The sequence below is a fragment of the Homo sapiens genome, chromosome 19 (genome assembly GCF_000001405.40).
Source record: "Homo sapiens chromosome 19, GRCh38.p14 Primary Assembly".
NCBI classification, from domain to species: Eukaryota; Metazoa; Chordata; class Mammalia; order Primates; family Hominidae; genus Homo; species Homo sapiens.
In genome coordinates, this window is record NC_000019.10 from 55,849,749 (window position 1) to 55,875,578 (window position 25,830).

General features: G+C 43.5%; 1 protein-coding gene across 3 annotated transcripts in view; it reads left to right on the forward strand.

The window, feature by feature from the left end:
• Positions 1 to 25,830, forward strand: part of NLRP4 (NLR family pyrin domain containing 4) — a 45,316-nt gene that overhangs the window by 13,209 nt on the left and 6,277 nt on the right. For 2 of the 3 annotated variants that reach the window (NM_134444.5, XM_017026345.1), the window contains 6 exons: positions 2,268 to 2,612; positions 7,926 to 9,501; positions 11,638 to 11,799; positions 12,244 to 12,411; positions 17,961 to 18,128; positions 21,079 to 21,249. In NM_134444.5, the coding sequence (NP_604393.2) occupies positions 2,333 to 2,612; positions 7,926 to 9,501; positions 11,638 to 11,799; positions 12,244 to 12,411; positions 17,961 to 18,128; positions 21,079 to 21,249 (2,525 nt within the window). In that variant the 5' untranslated portion in view covers positions 2,268 to 2,332. Of the gene's footprint in view, positions 1 to 2,267; positions 2,613 to 7,925; positions 9,502 to 11,637; positions 11,800 to 12,243; positions 12,412 to 17,960; positions 18,129 to 21,078; positions 21,250 to 25,830 lie in introns of those variants that run through there. The other variant, XM_017026344.1, reaches the window with a different exon arrangement.

Here is a 25,830-nt window from a genome sequence, read left to right on the forward strand (position 1 = left end):
AAAAGTAAAAATGTAATTTCTGTAGCTGCGGTGTAATTTCCAAAGCTGCGGTGTAATTTCCAAAGCTGCGGTGTAATTTCCGAAGCTGCGGTGTAATTTCCGAGACTGCGGTGTAATTTCCGTGGCCGCGGTGTAATTTCCGTGGCCGGCGGTGTAATTTCCGTAGCCGCGGTGTAATTTCCGTAGCCGCGGTGTAATTTCCGAGACTGCGGTGTAATTTCCGTAGCTGCGGTGTAATTTCCGAGACTGCGGTGTGATTTCCGAGACTGCGGTGTGATTTCCGAGACTGCGGTGTGATTTCCGTAGCTGCGGTGGAATTTCCGAGACTGCGGTGTAATTTCCGTGGCTGCGGTGTAATTACCGTAGCTGCGGTGTAATTTCCGTGGCTGCGGTGTAATTTCCGAGGCTGCGGTGTAATTTCCGTGGCTGCGGTGTAATTTCCGTGGCTGCGGTGTAATTTCCGTGGCTGCGGTGTAATTTCCGTGGCTGCGGTGTAATTTCCGAGGCTGCGGTGTAATTTCCGAGGCTGCGGTGTAATGTCCGTGGCTGCGGTGTAATGTCCGTGGCTGCGGTGTAATTTCCGAGGCTGCGGTGTAATTTCCGAGGCTGCGGTGTAATTTCCGAGGCTGCGGTGTAATGTCCGTGGCTGCGGTGTAATGTCCGTGGCTGCGGTGTAATGTCCGTGGCTGCGGTGTAATTTCCGTGGCTGCGGTGTAATTTCCGAGGCTGCGGTGTAATTTCCGAGGCTGCGGTGTAATGTCCGTGGCTGCGGTGTAATGTCCGTGGCTGCGGTGTAATGTCCGTGGCTGCGGTGTAATGTCCGTGGCTGCGGTGTAATTTCCGTGGCTGCGGTGTAATTTACGAGGCTGCGGTGTAATGTCCGAGGCTGCGGTGTAATGTCCGAGGCTGCGGTGTAATGTCCGTGGCTGCGGTGTAATGTCCGTGGCTGCGGTGTACTTCCCGAGGCTGCGGTGTACTTTCCGAGGCTGCGGTGTACTTCCCGAGGCTGCGGTGTAATTTCCGAGGCTGCGGTGTAATTCCCGAGGCTGCGGTGTAATTTCCGAGGCTGCGGTGTAATGTCCGAGGCTGCGGTGTAATTTACGAGGCTGCGGTGTAATTTACGAGGCTGCGGTGTAATGTCCGTGGCTGCGGTGTAATGTCCGAGGCTGCGGTGTAATGTCCGTGGCTGCGGTGTAATGTCCGAGGCTGCGGTGTAATGTCCGTGGCTGCGGTGTAATTTACGAGGCTGCGGTGTAATGTCCGTGGCTGCGGTGTAATGTCCGAGGCTGCGGTGTAATGTCCGAGGCTGCGGTGTAATGTCCGAGGCTGCGGTGTAATGTCCGTGGCTGCGGTGTAATGTCCGTGGCTGCGGTGTAATGTCCGAGGCTGCGGTGTAATTTACGAGGCTGCGGTGTAATGTCCGTGGCTGCGGTGTAATGTCCGAGGCTGCGGTGTAATGTCCGTGGCTGCGGTGTAATGTCCGAGGCTGCGGTGTAATTTACGAGGCTGCGGTGTAATTTACGAGGCTGCGGTGTAATGTCCGTGGCTGCGGTGTAATGTCCGAGGCTGCGGTGTAATGTCCGTGGCTGCGGTGTAATGTCCGTGGCTGCGGTGTAATGTCCGAGGCTGCGGTGTAATGTCCGAGGCTGCGGTGTAATTTACGAGGCTGCGGTGTAATTTACGAGGCTGCGGTGTAATGTCCGTGGCTGCGGTGTAATGTCCGAGGCTGCGGTGTAATGTCCGTGGCTGCGGTGTAATGTCCGTGGCTGCGGTGTAATTTACCGAGGCTGCGGTGTAATGTCCGTGGCTGCGGTGTAATGTCCGAGGCTGCGGTGTAATGTCCGAGGCTGCGGTGTAATGTCCGTGGCTGCGGTGTAATGTCCGAGGCTGCGGTGTAATGTCCGAGGCTGCGGTGTAATGTCCGAGGCTGCGGTGTAATGTCCGAGGCTGCGGTGTAATGTCCGAGGCTGCGGTGTAATTTCCGAAGCTGCGGTGTAATTTCCAAAAATGTAAAGTCTATATTTGCCTGGATATTGAGGCTATGTCAGGTGACTATAGGATTCTTGTATCTTCTGGATTATTGTATCTCTGATTCCCCCATCCATTATTGAGACTTTCATGACCATTTGAATGAGAAGGTGAGATGAATGTAATTAAATAACTTTCCGCCTTCATTGCCATCCCCCCAGTACTAGCAAGATACTATATAATGGTAATCTTGATCCATTTATTTGTAATAACTTGGCACTGTCCTGAATTTTCTACAGGTTTTATTTATTTATTGTTCCTGGTCACTGTCTCTTTGAGGATTGGTATCTCTGCTCCAGAAAAGATGGCAGCCTCTTTCTTCTCTGATTTTGGTCTTATGTGGTATCTGGAGGAGCTCAAAAAGGAGGAGTTCAGGAAATTTAAAGAACATCTCAAGCAAATGACTTTGCAGCTTGAACTCAAGCAGATTCCCTGGACTGAGGTCAAAAAAGCATCCCGGGAAGAACTTGCAAACCTCTTGATCAAGCACTATGAAGAACAACAAGCTTGGAACATAACCTTAAGAATCTTTCAAAAGATGGATAGAAAGGATCTCTGCATGAAGGTCATGAGGGAGAGAACAGGTGAGGGAGTCTGGGAAGGGGGAAGCCTTCTTATAATGAGGACTATGTCCTAATTTTGGTGAGTGGTCTCTGCCTGTCTACAACAGGACCTGAATGTGCTATGGGAAAATATTAGGTTTTTTTTTTTTTTTTTTTGGTAGACGGAGTCGCACTTTGTTGCCCAGACAGTGCAGTAGTGTGATCTTGGCTCACCGCAACCTCCACCTCCCAGGTTCAAGTGATTCTCCTGCCTCAGCCTCCTGAGTAGCTGGAATTACAGGCGCCTGCCACCATGCCTGGCTAATTTTTGTATTTTTAGTAGAGATGGGGTTTCACCATGTTGGCCAGGCTGGTCTTGAACTCCCAACCTCAGGTGATCCACCCATCTTGGCCTCCCAAAGTGCTGGGATTATAGGCATGATCCACCATGCCCAGCCTGAAAATATTGTCCTTGTAGGCAGGAAATGGTCTCTTAGACGTGGTGGTTACATGTGGGTAAAATGTCAGTGGCTATTATGTCCTAACCTGTATTGTACCTTTATCTGGGTCACCAATGATTTTTACCCTAAGCTGAGAACTTGCAGTCAAGCCAGAAACTCTGTGAGGTGAAGTCGTTGCATAAGAACTATGCACCTGACTTATTTGCAAGAGCAATTAACACCTGCGGTAGAGGATACAGTGAACTGAGGTTGACTGGTGTAATCATGTATTTAGCCAAAGTTCACATCAGACAAGCAATGATCTATAAGCAATATGGCTTTTAGAGTCACATTTGTATTTATCCTGGCATAAGGTGTTAACTGTTACTTTGCACATTTGCGTTATCAATGGCAGGATATAGCTCTTTCAACTTTACTGCCAAATTGTTTTTCTTTGTTGTTGTTCAGTGTCTTACTGTGATGTGCCTGGATGTGGCTTTGTTTTCATCCTGATTGGGATTCTTTAATATTCTTGCATCTGAGGTTCAGTAACTTTCTTCAGTTCTCAATTTTAGCCATTGTCTGTGTATTCCATTCTTCTGTTTATTCTTCTGGGACTCCAGTTACACCTACTGGACTTTCTTGTTTGTTTGACACAGGGTCTGGCTCTGTCACCCAGGGTGGAGTGCCGTGGCATCATCACGGCTCACTGCAGCCTCAACTTCCTGGGCTAAATGATCTGCCACCTCAGCCTCCCAAGTAGCTGGGACTACAGGTGTGTGCCACCACGCTTGGCTAATTGCACACCTGGCTAACCTTTTAAAAAAAAATTGTAGAGATGAGCTCTCACTATATTGCCCAGGCTGGTCTCAAACTCCTGGGCTCAAGTGATCCTCCTGCCTTGGCCTCCCAAAGTGCTGGGATTACAGGCCTGAGCCACCATACTGGCCTAGACTCACTCTTTCTTTCTCTTTCTCTTTTCCTTTTTCTTTCTCTTTCTCTTTCTCTCTCTCTCTCTCTTTCTGTCTCTCTTTCTCTCTCTCTCTCTTTCTCTTTCTTTCTTGCTGTCTCTTTCTCTCTCTCGTTCTGTCTTTCTCTCTCTTCCTCTCTCTTTCTCTCTTGCTATCTCTTTCTCTCTCTCTCTCTCTTTCTCTTTCTTTCTCTTTCTCTTTCTCTCTCTCTTTCTGTCTTTCTCTCTATTTCTCTCTTTCCTTCTTTCTTTCTTCTTTGATACAGAGTCACGCTCTGTCGCCCAGGCTGGAGTGCAGTGGTGCAATCTCGGCCCACTGCAGCTTCCACCTCCTGGGTTCAAGTGATTCTCCTGCCTCAGCCTCCTGAGCAGCTGGGATTTCAGATGCCCGCCACCACACCCGGCTAATTTTTTTGTATTTTTAGTAGAAACAGGGTTTCCCCATGTTGGCCAGGCTGGTCTCGAACTCCTGACCTCAGGTGATCTGCACACCTCAGCCTCTCTAAGTATTGGGATTACAGGCATGAGCCACCATGCCTGGCCTTGATTTCTTAAATTTAGTTCACATGTTTTATTTATGCAGTTTGCCTTTTTCACAGACTTCCATTTTTTCTCAATATTTATTCCATCTTCTATTTTATTGAGCATTTTAAATTATTTTAAAATTTGCCTGAAGATTTTAACATTTATAGGTCTGTTTCTACTGTTTCTTTTTCTCTTTATCTGGTCATACAGTCTCCTAGTATGTCCGGTAATTTTGAGTGCCAGATTTTGAATATGAGACATTGAAAATGTTAAGAATCTGTAATATCTTGTTCCAGTGAAATTGGAATTGATTCTGGTAGTAGTTACAGGGAAATTTCCTTAATATTGAGGATTAAAATAATTGGTTTGAAATAAAATAATTTGAGAGTTTCCATTTTTGGCGATGCTAGCCTTTCTTGCTCATTTTCTTGATTTGGAACATCACTTGGAAAAAACCCCTCCCAGTCCAATTTTTTTTTCTTTGAGACGGAGTTTCACTCTTTCACCCAGGCTGGAGTAAAGTAGCATGATTTTGGCTCACTGCAACCTCACTGAACCCCCCAGGTTCATGCGGTTCTCCTGCCTCAGCCTCCGGAGTAGCTGGGATTATAAGGCGCTCACCACCACGCCCAGCTAGTTTTTATATTTTTAGTAGAGACGGGATTTTGCCATGTTGGCCAGGCTGGTGTTGAACTGCTGACCTCCGGTGATCCGCCCGCCTTGGCTTCCCAAAGGGCTAGGATTACAGGTGTGAACCACCACACCTGGCCACCCAGTCCAAATTTTTAAACAAATTCCCCCATGTTTCCTGGAGTGTTTTGGTGTCACACGCTGAGGTCTCAGCTACCCTGGAAGCTGAGGCAGGAGGATCACTTCAGCCCAGGAGGATGAGGCTGCAGTGAGCTGTGTTTGTGCCACTGCACTCCAGCCTGGGTAACAGAGTGAGACCCTGTCTCAAAAAAGTAATTTATATAAAGAAGAACATTCTTTGCACATGGAACCATTTTAGAATATTGCTAAAATAAAATGTAAGCAGGTCTAAAGTTAGATCTTCCACTGGGTACTTACACTTCTCTCTTTTCACAGTTGGTTTGAGGTTGTACCCACTTAATTCCCCTTATGAGCAACCAAACATGTCACCGAAATCTCCAGAACAGCTGAGAAGACCAGGAAAGCAGGAAGCCATTGGGGAATGGGCAAACAACTTAGCTTAAGATGCTAATAGGATCTTCACCAATGTCAGATGGCATTTTCACCAGTTAGGGACTTCAGGGGACTGAAAGATTGGGGGAATCCCTTGTTCTCCCCAAAAACTTAAGGTAGCATTACCTACTGTCAGCAGTCTGTGGGCACTGGATTATATCTTTCACCTGCATCCAATCAAATCCAGTAACTATTATGCGGGGCATAGGGAAAATTTCCCATCTACAACTGCCCCCTACATCTCCAGTCCATCAGCAGCTACTCACTTGCAGAATATAAACATCGTACTAGTTATTTAAGGAACAGATAACTGTAAAGGAGTTTTCGGCCTGGCTGAAGGATCAGCCTCTAGGCTGGTGCTCCAGAGATGACTGTAAGAACTATAGTATCAGGGAGCTGCTGCCTCTCCTGCAAAGAGGAAAGTGGGAGATGGGAAGCTCACTGTTAGAACTGTGGCTTTAGAAATACACCACGACAGCTATGATTCAGAAATCGGGAAGCTCACCAGTGTAGCAGCTGCTTAAAATCAATGACCACAGCAACTGGTTTTAGTTTTCGAGACAGTCTCGCTCTATTGCCAGGGCTAGATTACAGTGGTGCAATCTCTGCTCACTGCAACCTCCACCTCCCAGGTTCAAGCGATTCTTCTGCCCTGGCCTCCCGAGTAGCTGGGATTATAGGCCTGTACCACCACGCCCAGCTAATTTTTGTATTTTTAGTAGAGATGGGGTTTCACCATGTTGACCAGGCTGGTCTCGATCTCCTAGCCTGAAGTGATCTGCCTGCCTCAGCCTCCCAAAGTGCTGGGATTATAGGCGTGAGCCACTGCGCCCAGCCAACTACAGCAACTGGAGACAAGCCTTCTGTTACAGAAGAGTCCAGCGTCTGTGTGTTCATGGAAGCTGGCAGCAAAACAGGCAGAAGATAGACTCCACTCCCCTTCCCCTTCCAGTGTCATGAGAGTGAGGGCCAATCGCAGAACTTAATCTGTACCTTGATCTTAGCTACGAGGGGTTGTGGGATGCGTAGGGCTTGGTCATCACTGTTGCTGGATCTTTTTTTTTTTTTTTTTTTTTTGAGACGGAGCCTCCTTCTGTTGCCCACGTTAGAGTACAGCAGTGCCATCTCAGCTCACTGCAACCTCTGCCTCCCGGGTTCAAGCGATTCTCCTGCCTCAGCCTCCCAAGTAGCTGGGACTACAGGCACACACCACCACGCCCGGCTAATTTTTGTATTTTTAGTAGAGACAGGGTTTCACCATGTTGGCCAGGATGGTCTTGATCTCTTGACTTCATGATCTGCCCACCTTGGCCTCCCAAAGTTCTGGGATTACAGGCATGAACCACTGCCCCGGCCTGTTGTTGGATTTTTTGATTGGCTTTTCTTTTGAGAATTCTGCCATTGAAAGAAAGCTCACTGGCATAAAGTTGGAATGGATGCGAGGTGCCATTCTATCCTCTCTACTGCATCTCCTCTCTCTTCTGGAGGCAACTGCCTAGGTCAGGTCCTTTTTAGGTGGACTTTCAGATCTAGTCCCTATATGTGAAACCTATATGTGTATATAAATCCCTTGTTTATGCAAATTGAGTACATGCTATAGACACCGTCCTGTTGCTTATCCATATGAAGAGATTATTCCATACTTTTAATATTTGTATAATAGCTTGTGTCTCATAAATTATTTAACTGGTCTTGATAGTCATATAGCTATTTTCCATTTATTTTGCTATCATCGTAGCAATGAATACCTGTGTATGTGTCTATTGAAAGCAGAAGTTGTCAAACTTTACATAGTAGCAATGAATGTATATGTGTGTGTGTGTGTCTATTGAAAGCAGAAGTTGTCAAACTTTACGTAGTAGCAATGAATGTGTGTGTGTGTGTGTGTGTGTGTGTGTGTGTCTATTGAAAGCAGAAGTTGTCAACCTTTTTGTGTAGAGGACCATATGGTTTCCATTTTAGGCTTTGTGAGTCATACGGTCTCTCATAGCTGTTCAGCTCTGCTATTCAATCAGGAAGGCTCCTGTAGACAATATACCCGTGAATGGTGTAGTGAGTTCTAATGAAACTTTATTTACAAGAGGAGACTGACCAGGTTTGGCCTGGGGGCCACAGTGTGTAGACCCCTGGAAAGATACATCCTGAGAAGAAAAAAAGAATATATGCAGGAATGCTTAACTTTGTGGGTTTTCTCTCCTCTTGCCCTCACTGACTCAGGATACACAAAGACCTATCAAGCTCACGCAAAGCAGAAATTCAGCCGCTTATGGTCCAGCAAGTCTGTCACTGAGATTCACCTATACTTTGAGGAGGAAGTCAAGCAAGAAGAATGTGACCATTTGGACCGCCTTTTTGCTCCCAAGGAAGCTGGGAAACAGCCACGTACAGTGATCATTCAAGGACCACAAGGAATTGGAAAAACGACACTCCTGATGAAGCTGATGATGGCCTGGTCGGACAACAAGATCTTTCGGGATAGGTTCCTGTACACGTTCTATTTCTGCTGCAGAGAACTGAGGGAGTTGCCGCCAACGAGTTTGGCTGACTTGATTTCCAGAGAGTGGCCTGACCCCGCTGCTCCTATAACAGAGATCGTGTCTCAACCGGAGAGACTCTTGTTCGTCATCGACAGCTTCGAAGAGCTGCAGGGCGGCTTGAACGAACCCGATTCGGATCTGTGTGGTGACTTGATGGAGAAACGGCCGGTGCAGGTGCTTCTGAGCAGTTTGCTGAGGAAGAAGATGCTCCCGGAGGCCTCCCTGCTCATCGCTATCAAACCCGTGTGCCCGAAGGAGCTCCGGGATCAGGTGACGATCTCAGAAATCTACCAGCCCCGGGGATTCAACGAGAGTGATAGGTTAGTGTATTTCTGCTGTTTCTTCAAAGACCCGAAAAGAGCCATGGAAGCCTTCAATCTTGTAAGAGAAAGTGAACAGCTGTTTTCCATATGCCAAATCCCGCTCCTCTGCTGGATCCTGTGTACCAGTCTGAAGCAAGAGATGCAGAAAGGAAAAGACCTGGCCCTGACCTGCCAGAGCACTACCTCTGTGTACTCCTCTTTCGTCTTTAACCTGTTCACACCTGAGGGTGCCGAGGGCCCGACTCCGCAAACCCAGCACCAGCTGAAGGCCCTGTGCTCCCTGGCTGCAGAGGGTATGTGGACAGACACATTTGAGTTTTGTGAAGACGACCTCCGGAGAAATGGGGTTGTTGACGCTGACATCCCTGCGCTGCTGGGCACCAAGATACTTCTGAAGTACGGGGAGCGTGAGAGCTCCTACGTGTTCCTCCACGTGTGTATCCAGGAGTTCTGTGCCGCCTTGTTCTATTTGCTCAAGAGCCACCTTGATCATCCTCACCCAGCTGTGAGATGTGTACAGGAATTGCTAGTTGCCAATTTTGAAAAAGCAAGGAGAGCACATTGGATTTTTTTGGGGTGTTTTCTAACTGGCCTTTTAAATAAAAAGGAACAAGAAAAACTGGATGCGTTTTTTGGCTTCCAACTGTCCCAAGAGATAAAGCAGCAAATTCACCAGTGCCTGAAGAGCTTAGGGGAGCGTGGCAATCCTCAGGGACAGGTGGATTCCTTGGCGATATTTTACTGTCTCTTTGAAATGCAGGATCCTGCCTTTGTGAAGCAGGCAGTGAACCTCCTCCAAGAAGCTAACTTTCATATTATTGACAACGTGGACTTGGTGGTTTCTGCCTACTGCTTAAAATACTGCTCCAGCTTGAGGAAACTCTGTTTTTCCGTTCAAAATGTCTTTAAGAAAGAGGATGAACACAGCTCTACGTGAGTCCATCCTATGACTTTTTCTCTCTTCTCAGAATCTGTCTGTATTCCCAAGTGGGTTTTGCTGAGGGAGTGTTTAATATAGGATCATGGTTAGAAACTCATTTTTTCTGCCACAAAACCTCAGCTCACATCCTGGCCCAACATTTTAGGAGCTCTTAGACTTTGTCTGTGAGCCTTGCCCTTTTGTGGCTGCAGTGGCCCCATTACAGAAGGGGGAATAATAATTGTATTGTGAGGAGTGAATATGAGGACCTGTGTGAAGAGTGTTTCCTACTTTCTCAAGTATTAGCTGATCAGTACTATAATCGATATTTTTCCATAGCACCACACTCCCTGTGTCTTGACCTCTCAGCTGCAAGTTACCTTTGAAAACTTAGTCTAAAAAATCATACAGCCCGGGTGTGGTGGCTCATGCCTGTAACCCTACCACTGTGGGAGGCTGAGGCAGGTGGATCACTTAAGGTCAGGAGTTCGAGACTAGCCTGACCAACATGGTGACACCTCGTCTCCACTAAAAATACAAAAATTAGCCGGGTGTGTAGCGCACACCTGTAATCCCAGCTACTTGGGAGGCTGAGGCCGGAGAATCACTTGAGCCCGGGAGGCAGAGGTTGCAGTGAGCTGAGATCGCACCACTGCCCTCCAGGCTGGGTGACAGTGAGACTCTCATCTCCAAAAAAAAAAAAAAAAAAAAAAAAAACAAAACACAAATCATACAAATTTTCTTCTTGTTCTTTTTTTTTTTTTTTCTGAAATGGAGTTTTGCTTTGTCACCCAGGCTGGAGTGCAGTGGCGAGATCTTGGCTCACTGCAAGCTCCGCCTCCCAGGTTCACGCCATTCTCCTGCCTCGGCCTCCCGAATAGCTGGGACTAGAGGGGCCCGCCACCACACCCAGCTAATTTTTTGTGTTTTTAGTAGAGACAGGGTTTCACCGTGTTGGCCAGGATGGTCTCGATCTCCTGACCTCGTGATCTGCCCACCTCGGCCTCTCAAAGTGCTGGGATTACAGGCGTGAGCCACCGTGCCCGGCCAAATCATATACATTTTAACTTACAGCTCATGCCTATAACCCCAACACTTTGAGAAGCTGAGCAGGAGGATGCTTGAAGCCAGGGGGCTAAGACCAGCCTGGGAAAAATAGCAGGACCCCACTTCTACAAAATTTTTTTTTTAATTAGCCAGGTGTGGTGGCATGTGCCTGTAGCACAGCTACTTGAGGGAGGCTGAAGCAGGAGGATTGCTTGCTTGAGCCCAGAAGTAAGAGACTGCGGTGAGCCATGATCGTGCCACTGTATAACCCAGCCTGGGCAATAGAGCAAGACCCCATCTCAAAAACCAAAAGAATCATATGAGGTGGATCCTATTATCCTGTTACAGGTGAGGAAACTGGGGCAAAGAAGTCAAGTGAGCTGGATCCTATCCAGTCAAGGATCCTGTATTTAGGACATGGAGAGTTTTAGGGCTGAGCCTAGGCTGAAGATGTCGACTTAATGGCTGGGCTGTGCTGCCTCATCTTTTACTGTAAACCAGCCTGACCAACATGGCGAAACCCCGTCTCTACTAAAAATACAAAAATTAGCCAGGCATGGTGGCACGCACCTATTATCCCAGCTACTCAGGAGGCTGAGGCAGGAGAATCGCTTGAACCTGGGAGGTAGAGGTTGCAGTGAGCCAAGATTGTGCCATTGCACTCCAGCCTGGGCAACAAGAGTGAAACTCCATCTCAAAAAATAAACCTATTTTGGATGTGAGACAGGGTTTCTCAGCCTTGGCACTGGTGATGTTTTGGGGGCTGGCTCTCCTGTTACAGTGGGGGGCTCTCCTGTGCATTGTAGGATGTTCAGAAACATCCCTGGTCTGTACTCACTAGATGCCAGAAGCACCCCTCCCTTAAGCTCTAACATCCAAAAAGGCCTCTAGACATCCCCAAATGTCCCCTGGGGGGAAACGTCACCCCAGGTTGAGAACCACTAACATAAGGTGACTTACCTGAAGGGTCCCGTTCCTTCTGACTGAGGGAGGCTCTGCCTCAGACATCTTCTGTTTGAGAAGACAGCGTAGTGCGTATATGTGTTACAAGTGGCTCGTGTTGACCGCCTGCCTGTGGAAAGCTCGTCCTTTCTTGACCACAGGTCGGATTACAGCCTCATCTGTTGGCATCACATCTGCTCTGTGCTCACCACCAGCGGGCACCTCAGAGAGCTCCAGGTGCAGGACAGCACCCTCAGCGAGTCGACCTTTGTGACCTGGTGTAACCAGCTGAGGCATCCCAGCTGTCGCCTTCAGAAGCTTGGGTGAGTTGAGAATCGACTTCGACTCGAGTATGTCACGGAGATGACCTATTCATCTCACCTCTAGCTTTCAGTCGAGGCTAACTGCACAAGCAAAGAATTAACATCCAGAGCAGTTGCTCAACCTCAGCACTTACAGACATCTCATGCAGATCATTCTTCATCATAGGGGTTGTTCTGTGCGTTGTAGGGTGTTAAGATGCATCCCTGGTCTCTACCCTCTAGATCCTAATAGCATCCCCTTGTCCAGATAACCAAAATAGTGTCCAGACACTGCCAGCTGTCCCTTGTGGGGGCAAAATCTCTCAAGTTGAGAACTACTGAGCTGTGTCATTGGGCTGTGAAATCAGAGAATGAGTTCATGATGGATGATGAGAGACAAACACAGGTGTGCAGGCTGTGCTCCCATTAGATGAAACTCATCCAAAATTTTCTTTGTTTTTGCAGAATAAATAACGTTTCCTTTTCTGGCCAGAGTGTTCTGCTCTTTGAGGTGCTCTTTTATCAGCCAGACTTGAAATACCTGAGCTTCACCCTCACGAAACTCTCTCGTGATGACATCAGGTCCCTCTGTGATGCCTTGAACTACCCAGCAGGCAACGTCAAAGAGCTAGCGTAAGTCTCCGTTTATTGAGACCACTGATTGGGTTTCAGAGAAGACTATAGCCTAAGTCTCCGTTTATTGAGACCACTGATTAGGTTTCAGAGAAAACTATAGCATAAGTCTCCGTTTATTGAGACCACTGATTGGGTTTCAGAGAAGACTATAGCGTAAGTCTCCGTTTATTGAGACCACTGATTGGGTTTCAGAGAAGACTATAGCGTAAGTCTCCGTTTATTGAGACCACTGATTGGGTTTCAGAGAAGACTATAGCGTAAGTCTCCGTTTATTGAGACCACTGATTGGGTTTCAGAGAAGACTATAGCGTAAGTCTCCGTTATTGAGACCACTGATTGGGTTTCAGAGAAGACTATAGCGTAAGTCTCTGTTTATTGAGACCACTGATTGGGTTTCAGAGAAGACTATAGCGTAAGTCTCTGTTTATTGAGACCACTGATTGGGTTTCAGAGAAGACTATAGCGTAAGTCTCTGTTTATTGAGACCACTGATTGGGTTTCAGAGAAGACTATAGCGTAAGTCTCCGTTTATTGAGACCACTGATTGGGTTTCAGAGAAGACTATAGCGTAAGTCTCTGTTTATTGAGACCACTGATTGGGTTTCAGAGAAGACTATGTATTTCTTTTTGTGTTGGGGGAGGGGGCTGCATATTTGAAGACATCCACTTTTTCCTTCTATGATTTGTATGCAAACTTAGTTTCCTGAGAACTTGGATAGGGAAGTTAAAGTTTCCCAATTGATGTAGCCATTTCGGAAAACTGTGTGTATTCAGCCTTCATGGATTCTGGCAGATTATGTAACCCAATAATTCCACCTGGAGGTGCACATTCGACAGAGGGACCTGTCTCAGTTTGCTGAAAGACAGGCACTAAAGCATTCCCAGCAGGTGTTCATAATCTCTGAGAAGTGGAAATACCACTGACAGTAAGTTGGATAAGAAACCTGTGGTTACATGCTCCTGTTCCATGAGAAAGAACACTCTCGGTCGTATGCAAAAACCTGGACAAATCTCAGACATTGTTGATGGCAATGAGCCAGACTCAAGAGTACATCCTATGGCTTTATTCCTGTGAAGTTCAAAGATGGACAAGGCTCTGGTGTTGGAGGTTCGGGCAGTGTATTCACACGTTCTCGCGCTGCTATAAAGACATACCTGAGACTGGGAATTTATAAATAAAAGAGGTGTAATTGGCTTATGGTTCTGAAGGATGTACAGGCTTCTGCTTCTGGGGAGGCCTCAGGAAACTTACAATGGTGGCAGAAGGCAAAGGGAAAGCAGGCACGTCTTACATGGGGGAGCAGGAAGAAGAGAGAAGAGGGAGGCGCTACACAGTTCCAAGCAACCAGGTCGCGTGAGGACTCTGTCACAGGAACAGCTCTAGGGGATGGTGGTAAATCACTAGAAACCACCCCCATGATTCCGTCACCCCCCAGGCCCCTCCTCCAACACTGGGATTACAGTTCGACGTGAGGGTTGGGTGGGGACACAGCCGAACCATATCAGACAGCGGTTACTTTTGTTAAGATAGTGAAGGAGAGGGGTACAGGAGAATGATGAACCTGCTCTGTTTCTTGACCTGGATACTGGTAACTCAAGTGCCTTAAATTCATGACAGTGCGTTGGCTGGCACTTAACCATTGTGTGTACTTTCCAGTATGTATGTTTTAATTCAAGCATTTTTATTTTTGCAATTAAATAAGGGTTTCCTGTAAATACTTACCCTCTACTTACCTTCATTGGTACCCACACATTCAAATACTTCTCTATACTAGTCTTTGTTGGCCATTTTTCTGAGCTTGCATCAACCGAACACAAAAAGACCCAAACCCTTTTTTAAAAAATAACAACTTTATTGTGATATCCACATACCACAAAACATATACTTTTAAAGTATGTACTTCATATATTTTAAGAAATACTTTTAAAGTATAACTATGCTTTAAAATGTACAGTTTAGTGATCCTCATATATATTCATGAGGAAGTACAACCATCATGACTGATTTTAGAATGTTCTCATTACCTCAGAAAGAAACCCCATACCCATTAGCATTCACTCCTCACTCCCTTATCTCTCTGGTCCCTGGGAATTACTAACATACTTTCAGTCCTATTGGATTTTCCTATCCCAGGCGTCTCATGTAAGTTGAATCACATGTGGTCTTTTGCGAATGGCTTACTTTCACTTAGCAAAATGTTTTCAAGGTTTATCCAAATTGTACCATGTATCAGTACTTCATTCCTTTTCTTGGCTAAATAGTATTCCACTGTGTAGATATTCCCCATTTTGTTCTTCTAGTCCTCTAGTGATGAACACTTGGGTTGTTACCACCTTTTAGCTATTCTGAATAGTGCTCTATGAACACTCATGTGTGAACACCTGCTTTCAATCCTTTTGGACTTGTAACCAGGAGTAGACTTGCTAGGTCATATAGTAAATCCATATTTAACTGTTAGAGAAACCACCAAGTTATTTTCCTCAGTGACTGCACAATTCTGTATTCCTACCAGCAATGTATGAGAGTTCTAATTTCTCCACATCTTTGCTTATTTTTTACTTATTTACTTATATTTTATTATTACTTATATTTACTTATTTTTTATTATACCCATCCTAGTAGATGTGAAGGAGCATCTCATTGTGGTTTTGATTTGCTTTTCCTGAATGACTAATGATGAGCATCTTTTCCTGTGCTTTTTGATCATTTCTATATCTTCTTTGGAGAAATATATATTCAAGTCCTTCACACATTTTTAAAAACTTTTATTTTACATTCAGGGGTACAGGTTTTTAAACATTTAAAAATTTTAACATTTAAACAACATTTTAAAAAACTTTTATTTTACATTCAGGGGTACAGGTTTATTATAAAAGTAAATGGCACGTCATGGAAGTTTGGTGTACAAATTATTTCGTCACCCGTTAATAAGCATAGTACCTGATAGGTAGATTTTTCTTCCCCACCTTCTTCCCACCCTCTGCTCTCAAGTAGGCCCTGGTGTCTGTTGTCCTTTTCTTCATGTCTATATGTACTCAGTGTTTAGCGTCCACTTATAAGTGAGAACATGTGATATTTGGATTTATGTTCCTGTGTTAGTTTGCTAAGGATAATGGCCTCCAGCTCCATCCATGTTGCTACAAAGGACATCATCTTACTCTTTTTTATGGCTGCATAGTATTCCATGGTGTATATGTATCACATTTTCTTTATCTAGCCCACTGTTGATGGGTATTTAGGTGAATAGTGCTGTGATGAGCATACAAGTGCAGGTGTCTTTATAGTACAATGATTTATATTCCTTTGGGTATATACCCAATAATGGGATTGCTGGGTTTGATGGTAGTTGTGTTTGAAGTTCTTTCAGAAATTGCCAAACTGCTTTCCATAATGGCTGAACTAATTTACATTCCTACAAAAATGTGTAAGTGTACACTTTTCTCTGCAACCTCACCAGCATATATTATTTCTTGACTTTTTTTAATAATAGCCATTCTGACCTGTGTGAGATGGTATCTCATTGCAGTTTTGATATGCATTTTTCTAATGATTAATGAGCATTTCTTCATATGGTTGTTGGCAACACCTTTGCACATTTTTAATTGGATTTTTTGCCTTTTTGTCAAGTTGTAAGTGTTCTTTATGTTTTCTGATTACAAGTTATATACGAGACGTACTTTGTGAATATTTTTTGCCATTCTGTGAGTTGTCGTTTCACTTTCTTAATGGTGTCCTTTGAAGCACAAAAGCTTCTAATCTGATGAGATGCACTTTATTTTTTTCTTTTGTCTCATGTGCTTTTGGTGCAATTGCTACGAAACCATTGCCTAACCCAAATTCATTAAGATTAACTTCTTTGTTTTCTTTTCTTTTTTTTTCCCCCAAATTTGAGATGAGTCTCACTCTGTCACCCAGGCTGGAGTGCAGTGGTACAATCTCAGTTCACTAAAACCTCCGCCTCCTGGGTTCAAGTGATTCTTCTGCCTCAGCCTCCTGAGTAGCTGGGACTACAGGTGCCCACCACCATGCCCAGCTAATTTTTGTATTTTTAGTAGAGATGGGGTTTCACCATGCTGGTCAGGATGGCCTTGATCTCTTGACCTCATGTTCCGCCCTCCTTGGCCTCCCAAAGTGCTGGAATTACAGGCTTGAGCCACCACGCCCGGCCGCACCAACCTATATCTTAAATCTAGAAAGAACATTAAAAGCATGCATGGCCTCAGAGCCCTGCTGCAGAGGCGTGAGGAGCCATGGACTCGGTGACTTGCCAATTCCACATTTATTTCTGGACAACTCCCATAATGGCTTTCATCTTTATTCTGTTGTCTCTGAGCTTATTTTTTGTGGCAACCAGAGGTAAGGAGAGTGGTTGAGGTAATAGAAAACCACACAGTTAAACCACACAGTTGTGAGGCAACACAAATCAACTCAAGCCACCAAAAAAGGAGTCCTAGGGGACTCGGGTTCAAGGCTTCTTCCATGTTCTTTGAGGAGATATTACTTGAGCAGAGACCTGAATGATAAAGATGCATCTAACCACAGGCCAGAAAAAGAGCATTCCACTTGGCGGGCACACATGCAAAATAGCCCAAGTTGAGTAAAGGAGCCACTAGACACGAGTTTGGGGAGGATCAAACATGAATAATATCTTAGAGAATGAAACCTGTGTTGTCAAGCAACTGAAAAAGAACCAGGGTGGCTGGGACATGGGGACTTGGGAATGGGTAGGACCCTTGTGGATCATGTTGTATATTTTGGGATTTTCTCCAAGTGCAGTGAGATAAGTTACTGGGGGAGGCTAAGCCAAGCATGCATATAACTGACACTGTGCGTCTCAGGTTGGCTGTCTCTGTACCCCAGAGACCGTAAGCCAAGCATGCATATAACTGAGACGGTGCATCTCAGGTTGGCTGTCTCTGTACCCCAGAGACCATAAGCCAAGCATGCATATAACTGAGACGGTGCATCTCAGGTTGGCTGTCTCTGTACCCCAGAGACCATAAGCCAAGCATGCATATAACTGAGACAGTGCATATCAGGTTGGCTGTCTCTGTACCCCGGAGGCCATAAGTCAAGCATGCATATAACAGATGGTGCGTCTCAGGTTGGCTGTCTCTGTACCCCAGAGACCGTAAGCCAAGTGTGCATGTAACTGAGACTGTGTCTCAGGTTGGCTGTCTCTGTACCCTAGAGACTGTAAGCCAAGCATGCATATAACTGAGACTGTGTGTCTCAGGTTGGCTGTCTCTGTACCCCAGAGACCGTAAGCCAAGCATACGTATAACTGAGATGGTGCATCTCAGGTTGGCTGTCTCTGTACCCCAGAGACCGTAAGCCAAGCATGCATATAACTGAGACTGTGCATCTCAGGTTGGCTGTCTCTGTACCCCAGAGACTGGGTTGACAGGGATCAAGAACAGGGTTGGGAGGCAGTGAGCCTCTCAAGGACAGCAAATGTGGGCTTCCCGACTCTGACAGGATTGGCAAGAGGAATGAGTCCAGGAACTAGAAACCAACAGAATGTGACATTTTCCCTTTCCTGCAGGCTGGTAAATTGTCACCTCTCACCCATTGATTGTGAAGTCCTTGCTGGCCTTCTAACCAACAACAAGAAGCTGACGTATCTGAATGTATCCTGCAACCAGTTAGACACAGGCGTGCCCCTTTTGTGTGAAGCCCTGTGCAGCCCAGACACGGTCCTGGTATACCTGATGTGAGTGGATGTTGGGGGTGCCTACTGTGGAGGGCCATGGCGGCAGTTCAAACCTGGGCCTATTGATGACAGTCTGCTCATTGATGGAGGCCACATAGCGGAGGTTTAAAAGCTCACGCTTAAGAATCAGAAAAGACTTGAGTTCTAGTTCAGGATTTATCACGTATATACTGTCTTCTTAAGCAAAATATTTAACTTAGAAGCAGAGGAAAATCCTGTCTTAGAGGTCTTATGGCTATCAAGTGAGACTGTCTATACAGAACACGTACTGTGTTTCAAAGCTGTTAGGTTGGGTTAATGCACCTGCAACACACATGGTACTTCCCGTGTTGATAACGGTTATTTCGAGCATGTAGAATAGACTTGGTGGGTACTCAGGACAGTAGCGGGGAAAAATGTCTATGGGCCTCTTGACCCCAGTTAATACTATAATACATGTGATGTTCTTGCAGTAATAGGATGAGAAGAGGCTATTCAAGCCAGTTTTAGGGTACGTAAAACACAGAAGGAAGACAGATGAGTAAGTGTTAAAGGCCAATTGATTTACCTATTAATGGAATTCTAATACCTTTAGGTGATACTTATACAAAAGGGGAGAGGACAGGAGAATATATATGCATTTGTGTCTTTTTTTTTTTTTTTGAGTTTTGAGTTTTGCTCTTGTTGCCCAGGCTAGAGTGCAGTGGCATGATCTTGGCTTATCGCAACCTCTGCCTCCTGGGTTCAAGCAATTCCCCTGCCTCAGTCTCCCAAGTAGCTGAGATTACAGGCATGCGCCACCATGCCTGGCTAATTTTGTATTTTTAGTAGAGATGGGGTTTCTCCACGTTGGTCAGGCTGGTCTCGAGTGTGTCTATTTTTTAAATACACAAATATCACTGGAAGAAATAGTATTATAATATAGGCTGCCTGTGAGAAATAGAACTGAGAAGCTGGGAGATAGGGGAGGATGGAGATTTTTCCCTCTTTATACTTTTGGGCATTTTGAAATATGAACAACATGAAAGTAAGAGTATTCTGAAAATGTCAAGAAAATGAGAGGATTTATACCTCGAGCTAAAATAGAGGGACAGGGACAGGACTTAACCTCCCACCTAAAACAACCAAAAATAACCAACTAAATAAAACAACTGTTTAAGACTTCAGACATCAGGCAATGAAGGACAGTGGTGCCTGAGTGATAAGGGACAAACAGGTGAGTCCTAGAATTGTCCCAGGTAACTATCTGGAGAGAGATTTCAGGATGCAGTTCAGGAAGGGGAACCCAGATGGAAGTTGGTAGACTCTGTGAGTTGGTGAAACCCCGTCTCTACTAAAAATACAAAATACAAAAATTAGCTGGGTTTGGTGGTGCATACCTGTAGTCCCAGCTACTCTCGAGGGAAGCTGAGGCTGGAGAATCGCTTGAACCTGGGAGGCAGAGGTTGCAGTGAGCCGAGATCGCACCACCACACTTCAGCCTGGGTGAAAGAGCAAGACTGTCTCAAAAAAAAACAAAAAATAAACCAAAAAAAAAACAAAAAACAACAAAGTCCACAAATGCCTGGATATGCCAGAAAATTGAGATCCGTGAGAGAAGCAAGCTGGGTGAGGCCTCCGTGGAAATGCAGATCTTGTGTCTGTCAACAGGAAGCAGTTGCCCGTTCTGTCCTAGCCTGTTGGATTTCCATGTGGGAATGCGGCTCATTATTGCCAGATATCCCAGTTTTCAACAGAGGTTGAAATCTAGATTTTACATACAATTTTACTGATGGTTATATATTGCCAACTGATTTTGTTAAACATAAAAATGCCAGGAAATCTAAATATCCGTAGGCCATATGTGGTTCGTTCATCACTAGCTTGCACCGTCTGCTTTTTTGTTTTTCTCTACTCCACACTTTTTTTTCAAAGTCAACATGGATCCTTAAAAAAAAAAAATTCATAAACTGGCTGGGATTGGAGGCTCACACCTATATTCCCAACACTTTGGGACGTCAAGGCAGGTGAATTGTTTGAGCCCAGGAGTTCAAGACCAGCCTGGGCACCATGATGAAACCCTTTCTTGACAAAAAAATACAAAAATTAGCTTGGTGTGGTGGCACGCACCTGTAGTCTCAGCTACTCAGAAGACTGAGGTGCTGAGGTGGGAGGATCCCTTGAGCCAGGGAGGTAGAGGCTGCAGTGAGCTGTGATCATGCCACTGCACTCCAGCCTAGGTGACAGAGCCATACCCTGTCTCCAAAAAAAAAAAAGTTTTGAACCTACTGTGATTTTAAAGAATAATGAAATTGAAAAAGTTGGGGATTCTACACATGAGGTAATCAATACACTTTACCAGTCCCTGAGGGAGCGGTCTCAGAAGGTCCATGTCTTGTCCAAGGACATCATCAGATGAAGAATTAGAACCAAAATTAAAGCCCTGTTAGAGTATTAGCTATGCCATATTACACGATACTTTTTCCTTCTGCATTACCCTCTTATTTTCTAATTCTTCTATCATGCAACTAAGAAGAAATGAGAGGGCCGGACGCGGTGGCTCACGCCTTGTAATCCCAGCACTTTGGGAGGCCGAGGTGGGCAGATCACCTGAGGTCCGGAGTTCGAGACTAGCCTGGCTAACATGGTGAAACCCCGTCTCTACTAAAAATGCAAAAATTAGCGAGATGTGGTTGTGGGTGCCTGTAATCTCAGCTACTTGGGAGGCTAAGGCAAGAGAATCACTTGAACCTGGGAGGTGGAGGTTGCAGTGAGCCAAGATCGCGCCGTTGCATTCCAGCCCGGGCGACGACAGCAAAACTCCATCTCAAAAGAATAAATGAGAGGAGGTGTTTTCAGATAATCCAGAACTTCATCTCAGCTGGGGAGTTTGTAAGATTATAGAAATATTACCCTGAATGTGAAATTAAGCAAATCTCCCTGAGACACCACGTCCCTCTTCACTCTCCTTCTCGTGTTTTTGTCCCCATAGGTTGGCTTTCTGCCACCTCAGCGAGCAGTGCTGCGAATACATCTCTGAAATGCTTCTGCGTAACAAGAGCGTGCGCTATCTAGACCTCAGTGCCAATGTCCTGAAGGACGAAGGACTGAAAACTCTCTGCGAGGCCTTGAAACATCCGGACTGCTGCCTGGATTCACTGTGGTAGGCTTTTTGCTGTTTCTTTGAAGACCAAGCCGTCTTTTCAAGGGCATGCACTGCTGAGAATGGGGCATCTGGAATTGAGGAAGGCTGTAGTGTCTGTGCCTGGGCATGTGAAGGTTTAAAAAATACTTGCTTCAGATTCTTGTCGAGACGTTCATGTAAACAAATCAGCACCCTGACTTCTGTGGCATGGATTTAATATGTTGCAAAGAGTTCTCCAGTGGCATATAGGTAGAGGACTGAGAGAGCCGGAATTAGGTCGGGACCTGAGGGGCAATTTCATGGCGAAGATGATATTTGGTGTGTGTTCTACAAAATGAATGCACTTCATCAGGTGCAAAAATAAAGCCAAAATTCCAGGTAGAAGGGTAAAACGTGAAGGTGGGAGATCCAAAAATACACGTGAGAATTAATGTGTGTAACAGAGAATGCTTTAGAAGAAGACAAAGGGTAGCATGAGATGAGCCAGAAAGGAGATGGTGAAAAGACTTAATTTCATGTTATCAAATAGAGAAATATCTGGGTAACCCCTGTAGCGGCGGTGGCAGTGTTTTTAGAATTACCAGTTAGGATAACATGTTGTTATGTATTTTCCCTGAAAAATACAGAGGCTTCTGAAATCTGGCAGCGTGATTTTTACCTAATCCATTAGGAAATCAGTTTAGGATTTTGTATTCCTCACTTGAAGAGTATGTTAAATAACATAACAAAAACACCAGATGCATTCTTTCTCTCCCAGTAGTGCGTTAGGCTATCTGGGCCAATCGTTGGCACTGAAAGACACCAAAAACATCAGATACAATATTAAGAAAAAATTTAAAAGCATCTAGAAGCTAAACAGAAATAATCTTTTTTTTTTTTTTTTGGAGACAGAAGAGTCTCGCTCTGTCAGCCCACGCTGAAGTACAGTGGCACAATCTCGGCTCACTGCAAGTGCTGCCTCCCGGGTTCACGCCATTCTCGTCTCAGCCTCCCAAGTAGCTGGGACTACAGGTGCCCGCCACCACGCCTGGCTAATTTTTTTGTATTTTTAGTAGAGACGGGGTTTCACTGTGCTAGCCAGGATGGTCTCAATCTCCTGATCTCGTGATCCGCCCGCCTCGGCCTCCCAAAGTGCTGGGATTACAGGCATGAGCCACCGTGCCCAGCCCAAACAGAAATATTCTTAAGTAGCAGGCTAAGTAGATAGCACTTAAGGCTATCCAAAACTCCTTAAGACGTATTAAAAAAACACAACATAACCTTAAACTAGTACTGAACAGATGCCTGAAAGAAACAAGAGCAAATTGTCTCAGGAGGTAGGTAATAGGATGACATGATCCTTGACCTCAGCTTATTCCTAAAAGGATTTTTTAAGGTCAGTAAATACCACACAGTTAAAATAACCCAACCCACAAGGAAATAAAGCTCATTGAGCCAAGGACAAGTCAAAATACAAACAGCTACCAAACTATCTAATTATCTATAAAGCTATTATACTTACTATGTTTACAGAAAAATAACAAGTTTGAATCTTAGGGAAAAGGAGATGAAATGAGCAAATAATACAACTAGAAATTATAAATATAATAACTGACTATATGGGGTGAATAGTAGATTAGACATAATTAAAGAAAAAATTAGTAAAATGGAAGATAGGTTACAATTACCTAGAAAGCAGCATGAAAACAGAAAAATAGGTAAATCATAGAAGAGGGTATAAGACTTAGATGATTAAGATGTTCTAACACACTTACTGGGAATCGCGGAAAGAGAAAATATTTTAAGAAGACTGAAATTTTTCTGTAACCAATGAAAGATTCCAATTCAGATTCAAGCATCCAAATAAGCGCTTAACAGGATAAATAGTGGAGAAACTGCAGAACACCAGATATAAAGATGTTGGTCTGTAAAGATTTAACAAGGGGCTGGGAGCTTGGGGCGGGGGAAAGTGATATCTACAAGAAAGGAGACAGACTTGGGTGAAGAGTAATAGTGGAAACCAGAGGGCAGTACAGTGAGATATTCAGTATGGCGGGGAGACGGGAGGGTGGATTGTCAACCTAGAATTCTATAGCCACCAAAAACTATCAAGAATGAGGATAAAAACACATTTTCAAATAAATACCAAGTTTCTTACCACCAGATCCTTCCTAAAAGTAATTCTAAAGACTGTTCCTTAGACAGAAGTAAATCATTCCAGATGGAAGAGAGATAGAGCAAAGAGAGGGGTAGATCTCTGGATAAATCTAAACAAAATGTGGATTGTGTATAAAAATAATACCATCTTGAAGATTTAATGGAAAAAATATACAACAGCCATAACAAAATATAAAGGGGTAAATTAAGGTGAATACTCAAATTAGCAGAAAAGAGGAGACAGAATGATTAAAAAATTCCCGATCCAAAAAAGAACAAGGAAACAAAAATTGAACAGGTAAGAAAATATGAAACAAGATATATATTTGAATTCAAATATGCTAGTAATTAAACGAACAGATTAAATGTTTCAGCTAAAAGATTGCCATATTAAAACGTAACTAATGTTTATAAGTTACTTATTAAAACGTGAGGTTGTGGTTGTACAACATTGTGAACTGTAGTAAGTGCCACTGAACTGTTCACTTTAATATAGTTAATCTTAAGTAAATTTTACCTCAATAAAATGATGAAAATGAAAGGATAGAAAAAAAGACCACGCAAATATTAAAAGGAAGCTTACGCAACTGTATGAATCAGACAAAATAGAATTTAAGACAAAGTATTATTCGGTTCATGCTAATTTTTAAATTATCTTCCTACTCAGTTGAACTTTAAATCTTACAAGGTGAACATAATTACTTCCCATATAGAGTCCAGGAATCTAAGAGAAATCATAATGGAAATTAGAACATATGTTGAAATGAAAAAGGAATATACTTTGCAACAAACTCAGATGGAGCTGTAGTGCATGTATATATTTTAAAAGGAATCTAAAGAATAATGAACTTAAGGATTTTTTTAATGGTAAAATAAACCCCCTAAAGGATGGAAGGAAATAAAAATAAGGACAGAAACTAATGAAACAAAAATCACAATGGAAAAGATCAGAAACCTGCAGGGTGGTTCTTGGAAAAAACAGTTTTTGTTAATGCCATCCTATAGAATATAATGCAAGCCACACATGTAATATTAAATTTTCAAGTAGCCATATTAAAAGTGATGTAATATTTGAAAGTAATTTTATAAGTAAATATTTGAAACTAATTTTAATAATATAGTTTATTTAGCCATATATCAAACATCACTTCAATATGTAATCAGTACAAAAAATTACTAATGAGAGATTTTACTTTTTTGTATTAACTCTCTAAGGTTCACTATGTATTTTATACTATGGCACATCTAGATTCAGACAAGCTACATTCCAAGTGCTCAGTGGTCACACGTGGCTGGCTATCACACTGAAGAGTGCAGGTCTATGTCAAGAATGGGAAAAGAAACATTACTACAGATGCTACAGATATTAAAAAGATTACATATGAGCAACTTTACACAATAAACTTGAAAATTTAGATATTTTCAAGACTCAATAAGCTTCTAAAATGATAGAACCTAAATGTACTCAAGACAAAAGAAAAATGAATCAGTCAAATCTTTTTATATAGAAAATTCCAGGCTTAGAAGCCTTCATTGGTGATTCTTACCAGACATTCAAAGAATAAATAATTCCACTCTTACATCAGCTTTTTCAGGATCAGAAGAGGAGAAACTCCCCACCATTTTTTGTGGCTAGCATAATCTTGATGCCAGAAACCAATAAGAATTTTATTGGTTGTAATATAATCCTTACAATTTTTGTAAGAAAGCAGAATTAAAGGCTAGTGTCATTCATGAAATGCAAAAACACTGAACAGAATATTAGCAAGCAGAATCCATAAATGTATTAAAAGAATAAACATAATGACTAAGTTGGGCTTATCCCCAAAATGTAAAGTTGCTTTAACATTAAAAAGATTAGTAAAAAAATCAATGTAAATCACTTTACTGGTTAAAAATAAAAATCATGATCTAAAATGCAGAAAAGTTTGAATTAAGACATACAATTCTTGAAAAACTATTTGGGAACTTCCTTGATGATCTAAAGAATATGTTCAAAAAAATCTAAAGCAAACATTTGTCTAATGATGAGAGAAAAGCTTTCTCTTCAATATCATGAAAAAGATAAGAACGGTGGCTATAATCACTTCTAGTCAACAGTGTCCTGAAAATCTTAGCAAATGCTTCAAGGTAAGAAAAACACTAAACCTGTAATCTTTGAAGAAACACCTAATTCTATACAGATGATTTGAATGTACATAGAAAAATCCAAGAAAATCTGTAGCTAAGTTATCAGAATTAGTCTAACAAGCTTGCTTGAAACAATATATCAAAAACAGTTACTGATATACCAACAAGAAGTAATAAGCTAGTGGAATTAAATAAAAGTACCTTTTACAGTAACATAAAAAAGAAATTACCTAGAAATAGCTACTGTGATATATGTGAGACTTTTATAGAGAATATGATCAAATTATGGTATAAAACAATGTTATATTCAAAGATTGAAATATTCAGTATCTA